General features: G+C 59.1%; 1 protein-coding gene across 3 annotated transcripts in view, besides 1 other annotated feature; it reads left to right on the top strand.

The window, feature by feature from the left end:
- The window catches only part of TRPM5 (transient receptor potential cation channel subfamily M member 5), a 40524-nt gene that overhangs the window by 8958 nt on the left and 14676 nt on the right, over window positions 1–16890 (top strand). For 2 of the 3 annotated variants that reach the window (XM_047426858.1, XM_017017628.2), the window contains exons 1-6: window positions 8173–8236; window positions 12052–12214; window positions 12507–12637; window positions 13236–13416; window positions 14359–14525; window positions 15152–15335. In XM_047426858.1, the coding sequence (XP_047282814.1) occupies window positions 12175–12214; window positions 12507–12637; window positions 13236–13416; window positions 14359–14525; window positions 15152–15335 (703 nt within the window). In that variant the 5' untranslated portion in view covers window positions 8173–8236; window positions 12052–12174. Of the gene's footprint in view, window positions 1–458; window positions 580–2211; window positions 3370–7803; window positions 8033–8172; window positions 8237–12051; window positions 12215–12506; window positions 12638–13235; window positions 13417–14358; window positions 14526–15151; window positions 15336–16890 lie in introns of those variants that run through there. The other variant, NM_014555.4, reaches the window with a different exon arrangement.
- Window positions 7064–7358: a silencer, noted in NCBI's record as "tiled region #9407; K562 Repressive non-DNase unmatched - State 13:Ctcf". NCBI's record gives its function as "represses a minimal TATA promoter and a strong SV40 promoter by Sharpr-MPRA in K562 cells {active_cell/tissue: K562}" and the evidence as "EXISTENCE:reporter gene assay evidence [ECO:0000049][PMID:27701403]".

Genomic DNA, 16890 nt, shown 5'->3' with positions numbered 1-16890 from the left:
GAATCGACAGACAGACGGGTGGATGGATGGACAGACGAATGGACAGATGGACGGATGGAGGGATGGATTGCCATGGGTGCATGGGTGAATGACAGGTGGGCAGGCTGGTGGAAGGCTGGATGGCTGGGTGGGTGGTGATGGGTGAGGAGGTGCATATGTGCTGGTGGATGTGTGCATGAGTGGGTGGGTGAGTGAGTGGGTGGATAGACCAGCAGATGGGCCGCCCTTCGTCCAGTTATTTGCACAGATGGCAGCCTCTCCATGAATTCTTCCTCGACCCGCCCATTTAAAAATAAAATCTTGCAGCCGCTGGGCCTCCCCTGCTTTATTTTTCTCCATAGCCATCTTAATCATCGATTGATCTTCCTTCTTTCTCACGTATCCCCTTGCTTGTTGTCTGTGTCTCCCCCTGACACAGTGCCTGGCACATAGAAGTCGCTCAATAAATCTCTCCCCAGGCCGGCTGTGGTGGCTCATGCCTGTAATCCAGTGCTGTGGGAGGCCGAGGTGGGAGGATTGCTCAAGTCCAAGTGTTTGAGGCCAGTCTGGGCAGCATAGTGAGACCACATCTCTACAAAAGTAAGTAGATAAATGAATAGCAAAAATCTGTATCCAATGACTGCATGAACTGATGGGTGATCGGATGGTTGAGTTCATGGATGAGTGGCGGTGTGGTGCTTCCCAATGGCTGTCATTTCCAGAACCTCAGAAACGACTTCTCTCCCCTGGATCAGCCAGGCTGTGGTCCTCCTGGCCCAATGCTCACACTTTGAAGCTCCAGCTGCACCTGCAGAGCCTGCCTTCCAGCACCTGCACACCACAGACACACACACACAGTGTCCACACAGACACACAGACACACACACAGTGCAGCTACACATACATGCACTCACAGTTTCCACACAGACACACATGCAGTGTCCACACACACACAGTGCACCTACACACACACACATACACTTTCACATACAGCGTCCACACAGACACAGCGTACCTACACATACACTCACACACACTCATACACAGCATTCTCACAGACACAGCATCCACACACACACACACAGTGCGGCTATACACACATGCACTCACACAGTGTCCACACACACACACACAGCCGGACACACAGTGTCCGCACACAGTGCACCTACACACACACACACTCTCACAAACAGCATCCACACAGACACACACGGTGTACCTACACACATTCACACACACACAGCATTTGCACACACAGTGTCCACACACACACAGTGCAGCCACACACATGCAGTCACACAGTGTCCACACAGACGCACACACAGTGTCCACGCACACACATGCACTCACAGCGTCCACACAGACACACATGGTGCACATACACACACATACACCGTCCACACAGACACATGGTACACCTACACACACAGCCTCCACACACACAGCCACACACAGTGTCTACATACACTCACACACAGCATCCACACAGACACACACAGTGCACCTACACAAACATGCACGCGCACACTGCGTCCACACACACAGCCACACACAGTGTCTACATACACACACACAGCATCCACACAGATCCACACAGACACATACAGTCCACCTACACACACATATACACTCACACACTGTGTCCACACACAGCCACACACAATGTCTACATACACTCATATACAGTGTCACACAGACACACCCACAGGCACACCTGCTGTCCGCACACACAGTGCAGCTACACACACACAACATCCACACAGAAATGCCCACGGTGTCCACACATATGCATGCACACACACACACCATGTGCGCACAGTGACACACACAGGCACACGCTGGTCCTTGCTTCTCGCAATTACCCAGGCCCTGTCCAGGTCTTGGCCCCGGCCCCGCTGGTCCTCAGGACGTTCCAGGCACACTGGCTCAGGCCTTACGCACCCTTCAGTGGAAGGAATTCTCATGATCCCCATTTCCAGACAGGATCTGGAATCACTGAAAGTCCTACTGCAGCCTTGACCACTGGCCCAGTGCCCGCTCCACACACAGCACACTCACACAGGTGCACATATGCCAGATGGACATGCCCTCATGGACAGTGCATGGAGCCCCCTACCCCAGCCACTGGGCCCGGGCAGCGCTCGGCCTCTCCACAGCCAGCATCTGCCCTCAATGGTGGAGTTGGCCGGGCAGCCCTTGCGCACACTAAGAAGGCTACACCTTCCTTTGCAGATCTGCTGTCTGATCGCCAAGCACCCTCTGCGGGGAGCAGGGTAGGGGGACGTCTTCCTGCAGCTGTGGAAGCTCCAGGACAGGACAGCAGGGGAGAGGGCGTGGGCCTTGCCTCATGGCGGCATTGCTATGGGCAGGTCATTTGGCCTCGCTGGCCCCTACGGCCTCTACCTCTGTTCACATCTTGTGATGGGGTCAAGGTTGCCCTCCCAGAGTAGAAGGACAGGCAAAAGGTGATGCTGCAAGGATGGTGCCGAGACAGCAGTGGCACGCTGCAGGCGCTGCCCGGGCCAGGGAACTTAATGGAGTGGGGACGGACGTGCGGCTCCACTGGTTCCCGGACTCCTGGTCTCCACTGCTGGGCACTCAGGATCTGCCCGGAGGCCTTGGACACAGGCACCACTGGCAGAGCTTGCCCATGGCCCTGCTGCCCCACTGCATGGCTTCGGGCTGCCCCCCGAGGGGTCAGACCTGACGCCCCCACCATCAGCTTTCCTGTCTGAGGGGCTCCGGGCTGCTTCCCTCCCACCTGGGGCTAGACTGTGTGTGGTTCAGAGGGAGATGCTGGGTTGGGGGCGCCCACCACACTGGCATGGGGACCCTGGGCCAGCGGGCCCTACTCTGGGTGGTGGTTTCTCCCCTCTAAGACAAAGAAGAAGTGGGTTGCAAATCTTTCTGTAAATAAAATGCCACATGGCACCCAAGGATGTGCCTGGGGGGAGGCTGCCTGTGGTGCAGGTGGGGAGCCAGCCTGCAGCTCCTTCTCTCTCAGCAGAGGCCCGAGGACCCCGGTCAGGGACGGCTCACGCTCTCCTGGACACTGGGGTCAGCTTCTGAGCCTGTGGGCCCAGCCTCGCATGGCAGGGCTTGGCAGGAGAGAGCTGAGCCTCTGCAGTCAGCCATTGGGGTTGCTGGAGATCCAAAGGGGATCTGCTGTCCCAGGGATAGAGGCCCCGTGGGGGCAGGGGCTGGGCCCTGTTGGAGTCCTGCTCTACTGGCGTGGCCTCTCCTCCAAAGGAAGTTCCAACGTAAAGCCTGCCCGGGGCCAACTGTAGCAAAGAAGACAGAGGCCGCTGGAGGAAACCCGCTGTAGAGGGCAGGCAGAGGCTGCTCTGTCGGCAGCTGGGATGTCCCTCATGACAGCACGCATGGACGCAGGTGAGCGCCTGGGCACCTCCTCCCCTGGCAGCAGTGCCCATGGCTAGAGCGGGCAGACAGTGGAGCCCCGGCCCAGTGTCTGCCCTTCCACCCAGGGCGTGAGTGTGGGCCAGGAAGTTGCTCCTTGCAAAAATGCAGCCTCCCCTAGACACCTCCGTCTCTGCCTTGATGGCAGTGCTCACACAGAGACACGCCTGGACACTCACCCATTGATTCACTCATTCATTCATTGACTTTAGAACATGTGGTCTGTACCTGCGTGTTCTGGGCCCCAGGGAGGTGGCAGGGAATGCTCAGGCCATAGTCTCATGCAGGGGACACAGACAAGCAAAAAAGTAAATGAAAGACCTTTCAGAGGGTGAGGCATACTGAAAACTAACACCAGATCACAGGGGAAGAGACCGAGGGAGGCACCCTGTGCTGATGTGGTCTAGGGTGAGGGGGTCTCTGAGGAAGGACATGAGAGCTGAGATCTGAGTGGGAAGAGGGGGCCAGCAGGAGCTCCAAGGAAGAGTGCTCCTGGTAGAGCACCAGAAGCCAAGGTTCCAAGGCTTCTTTGGGTTTTATTGTCAGGGTAATAGGGAGCCATGGAAGGTTGTAGGCAGGGAGGAACATGACCTGGTACTGAACCAGGGGTGGCTGGGGAAGAACTTCTGTAGTCTTTTGGGTGTCCAGGAGATGGAGGTGGAGGGCAGGACCAGGATAGAGGAAGGACTGTGCCTCCCAACCCCATAGGCTTAGAGGATCTGGGGGAACCTCCTCATTATTCACATACCACAGACACTGGCAGAACCTGCTGTAGGGCAACGACACAGGCTAGAGGAGTGGATGTGAGCTTAGGCTGGACTTTCAGGGTCTAGTGGACCCTCCGCCTTGCCCAGGGCCCCCAAGATAGGCCCCTCGCTCTCAGAACTAGGATTTTAGGGTCTCAGGCCTGAGGGCTTGTGGGGTCCCTGGTCTGAGTCCCATTTGCTCAGAGCCAAGTTCTGGGTTTCTGAGCTCAACACCAACCTGCATTTACTGAGGAAGCTGATATCTGCTTCTCCTCTCAGGATGAGGGTTTCAGCCATGCTAGGGGACAAAGGGACATTTACAGAGCAGCCCATAGGTGCCTACTTTGGGAGTACCTGGAGCCTTCCCATCCAGAGCAAAGCTGCTAGCGTTATAACATGGCCTGCTACCATAACCACTATTACCACGACCAGCATCATCCCTGTCATCACTACCATAAACATGACCACCATCATCACTACCACCTCCATCACCACCACCAAAACCACCACCACCAATACCGTCACCATCACCAAAACCACCACCACCAACACCACCTCCATCACCACCACCAAAACCACCACCACCATCAACACCATCACCATCACCGCCACCAAAACCACCACCACCATCAACACCACCATCACCACCACCAAAACCACCACCACCAACACCATCACCATCACCGCCACCAAAACCACCACCAACACCAACACCGCCTCCATCACCACCACCAAAACCACCACCACCATCAACACTGTCACCATCACTGCCACCACCCTCATCACTGCCACCAACATCACCACCACCAAAACCACCACCACCATCAACACCGTCACCATCACCGCCACCACCCTCACCGCTGCCACCAACATCACCACCAGCACTATCATCATCATTACTACCACCATCACCACTACCACTGTAATTACCACAACCAGCCACCACCACCACCACCACCACCACTAGTATCACCACTGTATTAGAACTGCCTGAGACTGAGTAATTTACCGAGGAAAGAGGTTGAGTTGACTCACAGTTCAGTATGGCTGGGGTGGCCTCAGCAAACTTACAATCATGACGGAGATGAAGGGGAAGCAAGTCACCTTCTTCACAGGGCAGCAGGATGGAGTGAGTGCAAGCCAGCACCCACTCCAGGTTCTGCCAGTATCTGAGTGGCAAGAGGGAGCCAGCAGGAGTTCCAAGGAAAAGTGATCCTAGCAGATCACCAGAAGCCAAGGCTCCAAGGCTTCTTTGGGTTTTATTGTCAGGGTAATAGGGAGCCATGGAAGGTTGTAGGCGGGGAGGAACATGACCTGGCACTGAACCAGAGTTGGCTGGGGAAGAACTTCTGCAGTTTTTTTGGGTGTCCAGGAGACAGAGGTGGAGGGAAGGACCAGGATAGATGAAGGACTGTGCCCCCCAACTCCATAGACTTAGAGGCACCTTCTTCACAGGGCAGCAGGATGGAGTGAGGGGAAATGCCAGATGCTTATAAAACCATCAGATCTCATGAGAACTCACTCACTATCATGAGAACAGCATGGAGGAAACCACCCCCATGATCCGATTACCTCCACCTGGTCCCGCCTTTGACACATGGGGATTATGGTGATTACAACTTGGAAGGGAACACAGAGCCAAACCATATCAAGCACCCATGCCATCATCATCATCACCATCATCCTAACTATCACTGCCATCACCACCACCATCACCAACATCTGAACCATCCCCACCACTACATCACCCACACTGATATCACCATCACCATGACCACCATTATCACCACCACAATCACCACCATCTCCAACATTATCACGTTATCAAAAACACCACCATGGCCACCACCAGGATCATTATCACCCCCACCACCATCATGACCATCAGCACCACCATCGTACCACACCATCACCAACACCACCAGTACAATCATCACCATCATCGTCTCCATCACCACCATCACCAACATCACCACAATTATTAACACTATCATCATCACCGCCACAATAAACACCACCATCAACACACCACAACCACGATCATCACCACCACCATCATCATACTCATTGTCATCATCACCCTCATCATCACCACCACCATCAGCAGCAGCACTGCCACAACCACCACCACTATCATCATCACCATCACCATGAACACCAGCATCACCAGTGACTATAGTCACCACCACCATGATCATCACTACCACCATAACAACCAACACCACCATAACCACCACTACCCCATCACCATCACCACAATCATCACCATCACCACCACTGCCACCACTACCAGCTACCACCACCATCATCATTACTACCACCTCCACTATCATCACCACCACCACAACCATCATCACCACCACCAGTACCAACACTATCACCATCACCACCACAATCATTATCACCACCACCATCCCCTCCACTGTCACCATTGTCACTACCACCATGACTACTATCATCATCCCATGATTATTACCACCACCATCACCATCACCAACACCAATACCAACACCAACACCACCAACATCATGACCACCATCACTACCACCACCATGATCAACACTACCACTGCAATAACCACCATCACCACCATTATCCCCACCACAATCATCACCACCACCACCTTCGTCACCCACCACCATCATCATCATCACCACCTTTATCAGCACTAATACCATCAACAACACCACAGTCACTACCACCACCACTGCCATTTGCACCACTATCATCATCATCTTCGTCATCATTCCCACCACCATCACCATCACTATCATCACCACCCTCATCAACGGTAATGCCATCACCACCCCAACTACCCTCATGCCCACCACCATCACCACCACCGCCACCATCATCACAAACACCGCCATCAGCACGGTCCCCATGATCATTGTCACCACCACCATCATGACCATCAATATCATCATCACCACCACCACCACTACTGCCACCATCATCACCACCACCACCATCACCTTCACCCGTTACCACCACTGCCTCAGACTCTGCCCATGGTCCTTTAGCGCCCTCTGGTGGCTGACAGGCCAGACTAGAGAGGCCACCAGGGTCCCAGAGAGCAAGTCCCAGATACTGTCCCCCACCATTCCTGGAGTTTATGGTTTGAGGGGCCCCGAACAGGGGGTCCTTGGAGTCTCTTTGGGAAGGGGCACACAGAGGTATCCCCCAGGCTCTGTTCTCCTCATGTGTTACCTGCAACCTCCCAGAAGCCAGGCTATTAGAGTCCCTGTTTGACACTCCAAGGTACTGAGGCCCAAGTGGCTAAGTAGCTCAACAGCTATGCAGGATCCAATCCCAGGACTGCGGGATTCCAGAGGCACACTCTGTCCCACTGGCACCCTGTCCTGACTCCGGATGCAGGGACAGTCCTCACAGAGCATCCCTGGTGCTGACCGGTGAATGGACATCACTCACAGCTGGCCCACGGCTGTGCAGCCTTTCCAGCACAGATGAGACACCATGGGGGCCGATGCCCCACGGCCTCGCAGGGCCACAGCAGGGAGGAGACAGTCCCTCTGCCTCCCTGTCCTCCACAGGACAGCTGGGCCCAGCACCCCGGCATGAGACGTGTGCTCTTGAGGCAGCTCCTGTTCCTACTTACTGTGGAAACTGAGGTGAAGAGCCCTGTCCCATCACATTTCAGGGTGGATTTCAGCTGCATCGGTCCCGGGCCACCCCGCCAGACATCGCCAAAGGAGGCAACGACAGCAATCTAAGTGGCCTAGAAGCCACGTCCACACAGGGTCTCCTCTCCCAGTCAAATCGGACATGCCCCCAGGGCCTTGGTGCCAATCACACCTGAGGACGGCCAGCCCTTGGTGTCTGGGTGGCTTTGGAGACAGCAGGCCTGTGGGCTCGGCCGTGTGGAGCAGGTGAGGTGGTGCCCTGTGTTGGTTCATGGCCAGCTCCCTAGGGCTGGCATTGGCTGCCCAGGTGCCAGGAGTTGTGGGCGGGGAAGAGGAGGAGGAGAGGCTTGAGAGTTGGGCCCACAGGCACACCCTGCAAGGTAGGCAGACGGCTCCACCCGCGCCTTGGCCAGCAGCCGCGTGTCAGGGTGCTGGGGAGAAGGCAGACAGGTAGGGACCCTCACACCGCTGACAGCCCAGGTGGGGAGAAGGAGCAGGATTGTACCTCCTCCTCCCAGGTGGGAAGGGCAGGTGGGCATGAGAGGAGTGGGGACCAGGACAGTGCGGCTTTGGCCACACCCCTGCCTCTTGCCTCAGTTTCCTTATCTTTAGCAGGGAGGATCCCCGCTTCCCTGGGCTGTGAAGGGCCGGCCCCACTGGGGTGAGGTGGGGCATTCTGGAAGGGGCTGCCCAGTGCTGGAAGAGGGTCTGGGCAGGAGGGCCAGCCCCACGGGCTCTGGATCTGAGACTTCAGGGGCAGTGTCTGGCCAGCAGCCTGCAAAGGCAGGTGCGGCTCAGAAGCTGAGGGCGAAGGGAGTGGGGCAGTGGGAGGGGTCTGGGGTCACCAGGTCACTACTGTGTCCTCTTGCCACCACTTCCCTGAGCCGTGTCCTCCACTGCAGCCCAGGGAGATGGGGCATCCTCATAGGGAGGACACAAGGACACACAGCTGACTTCCAGCCTGCTGCACGCAGGGACCTTTCTGGCACCCTCCCCTTGTGACTGGCCGTTCCCCCAAATCTCACAAATGAGGCAGGCCCAGGGAGGCTGAGGGACCTGCCCAAAGTTACACAGCCTGGTGGGGATGAGCGGGGCTGGGACCCCAGGGCCTGGTCATCCAGCTCTGCCCTGAGCTGGTCTTGGGGAGCCCAGGAAGCCACATTTGGCTCTTGGCTGCGGCTACAGGTGCCCCGCTGCCCTGGGAGCCCCAGCGCCTTCACCGTCTGGGGGGCTGCCTCAGTTTTGCCTCTTGGGAGTTCTGGGGTGGACTTCTGGCCAGGGGTCACGATGGCCCCTGGCTGTCCCGGGCTCCCTGCCCCACCCTGGGATGCACAGGGAGGGGTGCAGAAGACCTGGGCACCTGCTCATGCAAATCCCAGCTGTTTGCATCACCTCCCTCTGGGCCCATTTGCCTGGTGCCTAGCACCTGGCCAAATGCCTCCTTAGTCCCTGGGCTGGCCGGCGGGGGCGGGGGGCACCGAGCCTGGGCATGGGGCAAGGGGTGGTTGCGGCCACCAGGAAGGTGAGGCTGCCCCACGCTGCTACTCGGCTTCCCTGACCTCAGCTGCTGGGTGCCCAGCTCTGTCCCGTCCTCGGGAGGAAGGAGGTGCTGTGGGCCCTGGGAAGGGCCAGAGCTTTGGTTGTGGCTGCTTCCACCTCTGATGGCTGCTGGTCGTCCCGGGGGTCTTGCATAGAGTCAGGGAGGCACTGCCGAGCTCCAGGCTGAAGGGTACTCCCGGATGTCCTATCCCAGAACTTCCAAGAGGCAAAGCTGAGGCTCACTGGAAAGCAATTCAAGGGCCAGGGAGCCCTGTAGGACCCCTCCCAAGGCCCAGGCCCTCCATTAGCTTCCCCACCAGGGACGAAGGGAAGAGAAGAAGGAGTCCCCCATCTATGGCCTAAGAGTCATGGGGAAGGCGAGGATAACAGTGTTGTCCAGCCCAGTCCCGTCCCCCAGGCTGAGGGTCATGGCCAAACCCCAAGCCCCCTACACCCTGTGCTGGGGACACGCCTGGCCATGCATCCCCAGCTGCAGGGCACATGTCCACACGTAGCCAGGATTGACCCCAGCGGGTGACCAGGTGTGGCAGGGCCTGGTGGGAGTGAAGGCCAGCCTGAGGACCCCCGCCCAGGGTGAGGACTCCCGCCCAGGGCTACAAGCACACATCCCACCTCCCTGCCTGTTCTGCATTAAGTGGTGTCCTCCCAGATGGGGCGACACTAATGGTTGGATACTGTCCACTGGGAACCTTAGAATATGACCTCGTTTGGAAGTGGGGTCCTTGCAGATGGCGCACCATGAAGATGAAGCCACGCTGGGGTAGGGCGGGCCTGGGCAATCAATGATTGCAGAGGACACAGACAGGCGAGGCAGACCATGCGGCAACCAAGGCAGAAGCTGGAGCCACGCGGCCACAGCCAGGAACACCTGGCGCCTCAGGAACCTGGAAAGGGTGGGAAGGACCCGCTCTGAGAGCTTCCAGGGGGAGCACGGCCCTGCCGATGCCTGGATTTGGGACGTCTGGGCTCTAGAACTATGAGATCATCCATTTGTTGTTTTGAGCCCCCGAGAGTGTGGCCCTTTGTTTTGGCAGCCCCGGGACACAACAGCAATGCCAAGCCTTGTCCCAGCCTCCAGCCCCCACCTGGGGCCTGGCCACAGACACCAGCTCCCAACACAGAAAACCACCAGGCGTCTCCACCAGCGCGGGAGGCCGTATTCAAATCCTGCCTCTCTGCGGTCCGCGGGCTGGTTCCTGCTCTGGAGGCAGAAGTGCGGGAGGATTTGCATCACCCTGCAGGGACAGCTGAGGCCCACGTGGTGCTGAGGGCATCAGGGCGCCTCCACAGGCCTGGCCGGAGGAGGGGGCTGAGGCCCGTGGGTGGGTCCTGCCTGGGGCTGGCAGTCACCAGAAGTCGTGCCGGGGTTGACTTGGGCCTCACAGGGGGGCCCTGGGCAGCCAAGACAACCAGCCTGAGCTGGGCATCTTAAAACAATGGCAATTGATTCTCTCATGGTTCTGGAGGCCACCAGTGCTGAGTCCTAAGTCAAACTGTCGGCAAGGCCAAGCCCTCGAGGGGGATCCTTCCTGCCTCTTCCAGCTTCGGGGCTCCAGGTGTCCCTTGGCTTGTGGCCACATCACCCAACCACTGCCTTCACCCCTCCCCTGTGTCTTAAAGGGTGTTTTTCCCTGCGCGTCTGTCTCTACGTCCAAATGTCCCCTTTCTCTATCAGAACCTGGGAATCAGGGCTCCCCCTGCTCCAGCATGGCCTCATCTTTACTTACATCTTAATACATCTGCAAAGGGCCTGTTTCCAAAGGTCACATTCCCAGGTCCTGGGGTTTGGGACTTGGACATACCTGTTTGGGGATGCAGTAACTGTGCTGGCTCCAGAGGCCTAATGGGGAGGGCCTTGGCCTTAGCCTCTGCCCCAAAGCCAGCCCCAGGGGTCCCAGGACACACTCCCTCTCATCTCTGAAGTTCCCCCCAACTCCTGTATCCCCTCCTGGGGTCACAGGTGGGCCCCTCTCTAGGAAATGAAGGTTTTTACAGAACGGTCCATTGTCTTCTCACAAAGGGCTTCTGTGGTGGACACAGCCCAGAGCGCCTGGGTACAAGGTGGGCACAGGAGAACCAAGGGACAGCCCTGTGGGATCAGGAGCTGCCAGGTAGCCCCAGGTCGGACAGGGTAGGGTGGCTGGGGGCCCACGGAGACCTCTGCCCAGCGGCCTGTGACCCGACGCGTGGTTCCAGGAGGGCAGACAGAGGAGCAGGTGCCCTCGGCCTGCCAGGGCTTGTCCTCAAGCACCAGCTTCCAATATTGAGTTTTCAGAGGAGCAATCGGAGGGAGGTGGGACCAAGCCAGACCGAGGTCAGCCAGGCTGGGGCTGGGCAGCTGACAGATGAGGCTGTGGGCAGGGGCGGAGCCAGGGCGCTGAGGGGCCAGTGCCGATCCTTGGATCCCTGCCACATAGAGAGGGGCTGAGATGCCCGACCTCACCGGGCAGCTGGGAGACATGAGCCCCATGAGGGTTGAGGGAATAGGGCTGAGGCGCACGCGGCCTCTTCTACCCCCGCTTGCTGATGTGGGAGCGCCACGGGAATAGCTCTGCTGCTGATGCTGTGTGGGCCGGGGCAAGGCCTCCTCTCTCTGTGTGTCCTGGGCCTCCTGGACCTCCTGGGCAAGGAAGGTGGTCTCTCGTCCACACCGCCTCCTGCACTTGAGCTGAGGGCACCTGTCTCACCTTTTCACCTCTACCCAGGTGCACCCAGGGTCTCCACATCCCTGTCCTGGGAGCGGGTGGGCTGTGTGGCCAGGGGACTGCAAGGCCTCTGCTGAGTCTTTCGGAGTTTCCAGGTCATCCCCACAAAAGGCCTCTGGAGAAATGTCTGCAGGTGTGGCCAACCTGAGGTGCCCTGAGTGGGGTGAGTAGAGGAACCAGGCGCTGACAGCGGAGCCCCACACATCCCATCCTCACCTGGGAAGGAGCTTGGTTGGGGCGGTGCTACAGCGAGTGTCGGAGCTGCAGGGGGTCGCTGGGCAGGGCCTGGCTGGAGAGAAGGTCCCTGGGGCAGAGATGCCTGGGGGCAGTCCCCAGGTCTCCTTGTGCATGTTGGCTGGAGAGGGGCTTCCCAGGGGAAAGCAGAGCCAGCCCCCTGAGGGGAGGGAGGTGGGGATGGGCCTTCTCAGCCCTCAAGGGCCAGGGTATCCCTGCAGCTCTAGAGGCCACCATGCAGGATGTCCAAGGCCCCCGTCCCGGAAGCCCCGGGGATGCTGAAGACCGGCGGGAGCTGGGCTTGCACAGGGGCGAGGTCAACTTTGGAGGGTCTGGGAAGAAGCGAGGCAAGGTAAGGGCAGGCCCCAGGCCTCAGGTGATGTCCGCCTTGACCTGGAACCCATGAGGCCCCATTTCCTTCCCTGGAAGCTGAGTGCCAGGGTCCTCCTCACCCCTGGGGTCTGCTCCCCTGGGGCCATATTCAGAGCCCCCAGACAGGCAGAGTTCCAGAGCTGGAAGGAGTGGCTCTGGCCGGCCTCCTACCTCCCTGCAATAACCGGGACCCCTGAAGTCCCCCCGAGAGATTTGGAGGTGCAAGGTCAAGTGCATCCAGGGCCCCACCTCTGTCCAGCGCCCTCGGCTCACTGAGGGGGATGCCAGCCCAGAGAGGGGTCAGGACTGCCCAGGTCACACAGCAGGTCAAGGGAGGACTGGCCCTGTCCCAGAAGGGATATTGGGGGCCACTCTCCTCCTGCTACCTGCCCCCAATGCCCAGCACCTCCCCGGTACCCCCTGTGTCCAGCCCCCTTGATGCCCAGCACCTCCCAGTGCCCAGTGTCCCCCCATGCTCAGCACCTCCCCAGTGCCCCCTTGTGTCCAGCCCCCCCCAATGCCCAGCAGCTCCCATGCCCCGTGCCCCGAAAGCCCTGAGCTGCAGACCTGCCTTGCAGTTTGTACGGGTGCCGAGCGGAGTGGCCCCGTCTGTGCTCTTTGACCTGCTGCTTGCTGAGTGGCACCTGCCGGCCCCCAACCTGGTGGTGTCCCTGGTGGGTGAGGAGCAGCCTTTCGCCATGAAGTCCTGGCTGCGGGATGTGCTGCGCAAGGGGCTGGTGAAGGCGGCTCAGAGCACAGGTGAGGCCCCACCCGGCACAGGCAGCGCTCCCACCCCACAGGGCAGCCCGACCCCCTGACTGTCCCCGCAACCCGGCACAGGCAGTGCTCCCACCCCACAGGGCAGCCAGACCCCCTGACTGTCCCCCCACCCGGCACAGGCAATGCTCCCACCCCACACGGCAGCCAGACCCCCTGACTCTCCAGGCCATCACGAGAACATTTCCCGAAACTCTCAGCCCGTCCTCTGCAGTACCCACAGGTGCAGCAGTGCCTACGTACTGGACCAGGACCTCCCCCAGCTGGGCCTGGCCCTTCCTTAGAGCTGCCCCCTCCACTAGCAGGGCCCATGGGCCGCCATGAGATGTCCCTGCTCCCACTCACCTGGGACCAGAGCACCCGGGTGTATACAGGGTGGGACCCCTTGGGGAAGCAGTCGGGCCGCCAGCTGCAGGGGCCAGAGTCCAATGGCTGGGCTGTTTTTTGAGGCAGCTTGGCCTATACAACACCCAGGAGAAAAGGACTTGAGGTTTCAGGATCCCTCACTAAATGACTGTGGCAAACCCAAAGAGATCTTCCAGCCAGACAAGGGCCGAGGGCTTTGTCATTTGGGAAAACATCCTGGGATTCTCACCCAGCAGAGGCAGCTGGACAGAGTTGTGTCGGATGTGTCCCGGAGGGAGCACGGTGGGGGGACTGGACCCCAGTTTGTGCGCTCCAGGTGGGGTGGGGGTGCCACTTCACAGGTTCTGGGCCCAGCCAGTTCTGCTGCTGAGCAGCCTTGGGTGGGTGCCTTGCCCTCTCTGGGCCTCGGCTTCCCCACCCCACCGTGAGGCATTCCCCAGCACCCACCCCTGGCTCCCAGGTAACTGGCTGCTGATTGGGCCTAGGGGTTAGGGCGTGGGGCCAGCTAGGGAAGACCTGGGGCGTGCGGCACAACGAGGCCCTCTTCCATCCCCACAGGAGCCTGGATCCTGACCAGTGCCCTCCGCGTGGGCCTGGCCAGGCATGTCGGGCAGGCCGTGCGCGACCACTCGCTGGCCAGCACGTCCACCAAGGTCCGTGTGGTTGCTGTCGGCATGGCCTCGCTGGGCCGCGTCCTGCACCGCCGCATTCTGGAGGAGGCCCAGGTGCACGTCCAGCTCCCAGCACCACGACCGCTGGGGGCCTGGAGGCAGGGGCTCAGAAGGGTTTGGGCAGCGGGCAGAGCTCTGGGAGGACAGGACTCGAGCTGGAGGAAGAGCAGGGAGCGGGCAGAGCCAGCACACGGCCGGCAGGTGGCAGTACCGCATAGGGAACGGCCAGCGTAGACTGTGGCGCGGGCCCTCACCCCCTCCTGTACCACACGGGCCCAGGCCCCGAGCCCTTTCCAAGCCTGGGCAAGCAGCTTCCGTCCCCCATGCTGGGGTCTGTCTAAGGCACTACCGAGGGAGGCCCGGGCAGCCCCTGGTGGATGTTTGGACGCCAGCCCTAGAGTCGGGAAGGAGGTGCTCCCGGCAGCCTGGGCTGTCTCCATGGTTCTGTCTAAAAGAACCCGCTCCCCACCGCCCCTGCCCCTGACTGTCGAAGGAGGGTCCCCGGGCCCCAGCTGTTCGTCCCTCCTTTTGTCTGAAGGGTGGGGAAACCAAGGCTCGGGCAGAAGCCTTGTGCGGGGCCCCATGGCGTGGTGTGCACGGCCTGGCAGGGAGGATCCCGCAGCGGGACCAGCCCAAGCTGCCTCTCGAGGGCTCAGCCTCGTCTCCCTGCATGGGCGCAGGAGGATTTTCCTGTCCACTACCCTGAGGATGACGGCGGCAGCCAGGGCCCCCTCTGTTCACTGGACAGCAACCTCTCCCACTTCATCCTGGTGGAGCCAGGCCCCCCGGGGAAGGGCGATGGGCTGACGGAGCTGCGGCTGAGGCTGGAGAAGCACATCTCGGAGCAGAGGGCGGGCTACGGGGGTGAGACCCGCCCCAGCCACCCAGGGAAGCCTTGGGACCCAGTGGGGATCCAGGGACCCGCCTGTGGGAGAGTGGGGGTGACCGCCAGGGAGAAGGGGGAGGGCTTCCCAGGCAGAACGCACCCCGCATGCCTGAGCACCGAGACCTGGGCCGTGGGGGCCTGGGCCGTGGGGGCCTGGGAGGAGGAGCTGTCTGGGCAGAGTGGTGAAGGAGGCACAGCTGGACAGAGTGGCTCTGACTGGACAGTGACATTCCCACCAGAGCAGGTGCAGTTCTGTTTTCACTGGGCCTTGCCGTGGTCAGAGGCTCCGGGACTCTAAGAGGCAAAATGAGATCGTGAGTTGAAAGAGGGCTACTTCCCGCCGCCAGGCGTGAGGTATGCTGCCGCCAGAGGGCAGCGTCACCCGAGAAATGGGCACCTCTGGCCAGTCGCACGTTCAAAAGCTGGACTTACTAAGAAAACGCTAGTGTGTAAATAATATTCATAAACAAAGCATATAATTATTTATAACATCTATGAACAATATACAATATTTAGAAACAGAATTGTAATTTCTTGGCAAGGCCAACTGAGCCCTCTGTTTTTTTTTTTTTTTTTTGAGGCAGAATCTCACTCTGTCCCCCATCCCCCAGGCTGGAGTGCAGGAGTGCAATCTCGGCTCACTGCAGCCTCCACCTCCCAGGTTCCAACAATTCTCCTGCCTCAGCCTCCCGGGTAGCTGGGATTATAGGCATGTGCCACCATGCCCGGCTCTTTTTTTTTTTTTTTTTTTCCCAGTAGAGACGGGGTTGCACCATGTTGGCCAGGCTGGTCTTGAACTCCTGATCTCAGGTGATCTGCCTGCTTTGGCCTCCCAAAGTGCTGGGATTACAGGCATGAGCCACTGTGCCCGGTCAACTGAGCACTCTTTAGAATTGAAAACACAAAGTCTCGTCAAACTCTAGGGACACAGGCGGAGGGTCTGGCTCTGCTCTGCGGAAGCCCTGCTGGCCCGGGCACCGTTTGGCCAGGCCTGATTTATCCTCCAGATTCAATCAGGAGGCACCTTTCAAAGTCAGGGGCCCGCCTGCGAGCCCAGTTCCCTGTGGGTGATTCTAAGGCACCTCCAGGCAGTTCACTCCCTCACAGAAGACAGGGGCAGGTCCAGGCCTCTCTGGGGGCTTCACATATAGACATCTCATTTCCAGCTTCTGTTTGGGGGAGAAACCTGAAGACTCCCTCCTGTACCTCTTCAGTTTGCTGAGTGGTCAGGCGCAGCCCACCCAGCAGAGCTCCCTCGATGGTCGAGATGCTGCCTCTGCCATGCTCAGCATGAGCGCGTGCAGTGTGGCAGTGCACCTGTAGGGCTGGGTGCTCCGTTTCTTCCACGTCACTTTGTGTTTTAACAGCCATATGCCAGCTGTTGCCACAAAGTGCGCGTGCTGGGTAGTGTAGGTTAGCATTGGAGCCCTCGGCCCTCATATGGCAGGGGCTGTAATAAGCAGCCTGTGTCACGTGGCCCAGACGAAGCCCACACTTTATTCGGAAGAGCCAGCTTTTGGCCAGAAAATGTGG

Source organism: Homo sapiens, chromosome 11, assembly GCF_000001405.40.
Source record: "Homo sapiens chromosome 11, GRCh38.p14 Primary Assembly".
Lineage (NCBI taxonomy): Eukaryota > Metazoa > Chordata > Mammalia > Primates > Hominidae > Homo > Homo sapiens.
Note: the sequence above shows the minus strand (reverse complement) of the source record. Positions and strands in the feature narration are given on the sequence as shown.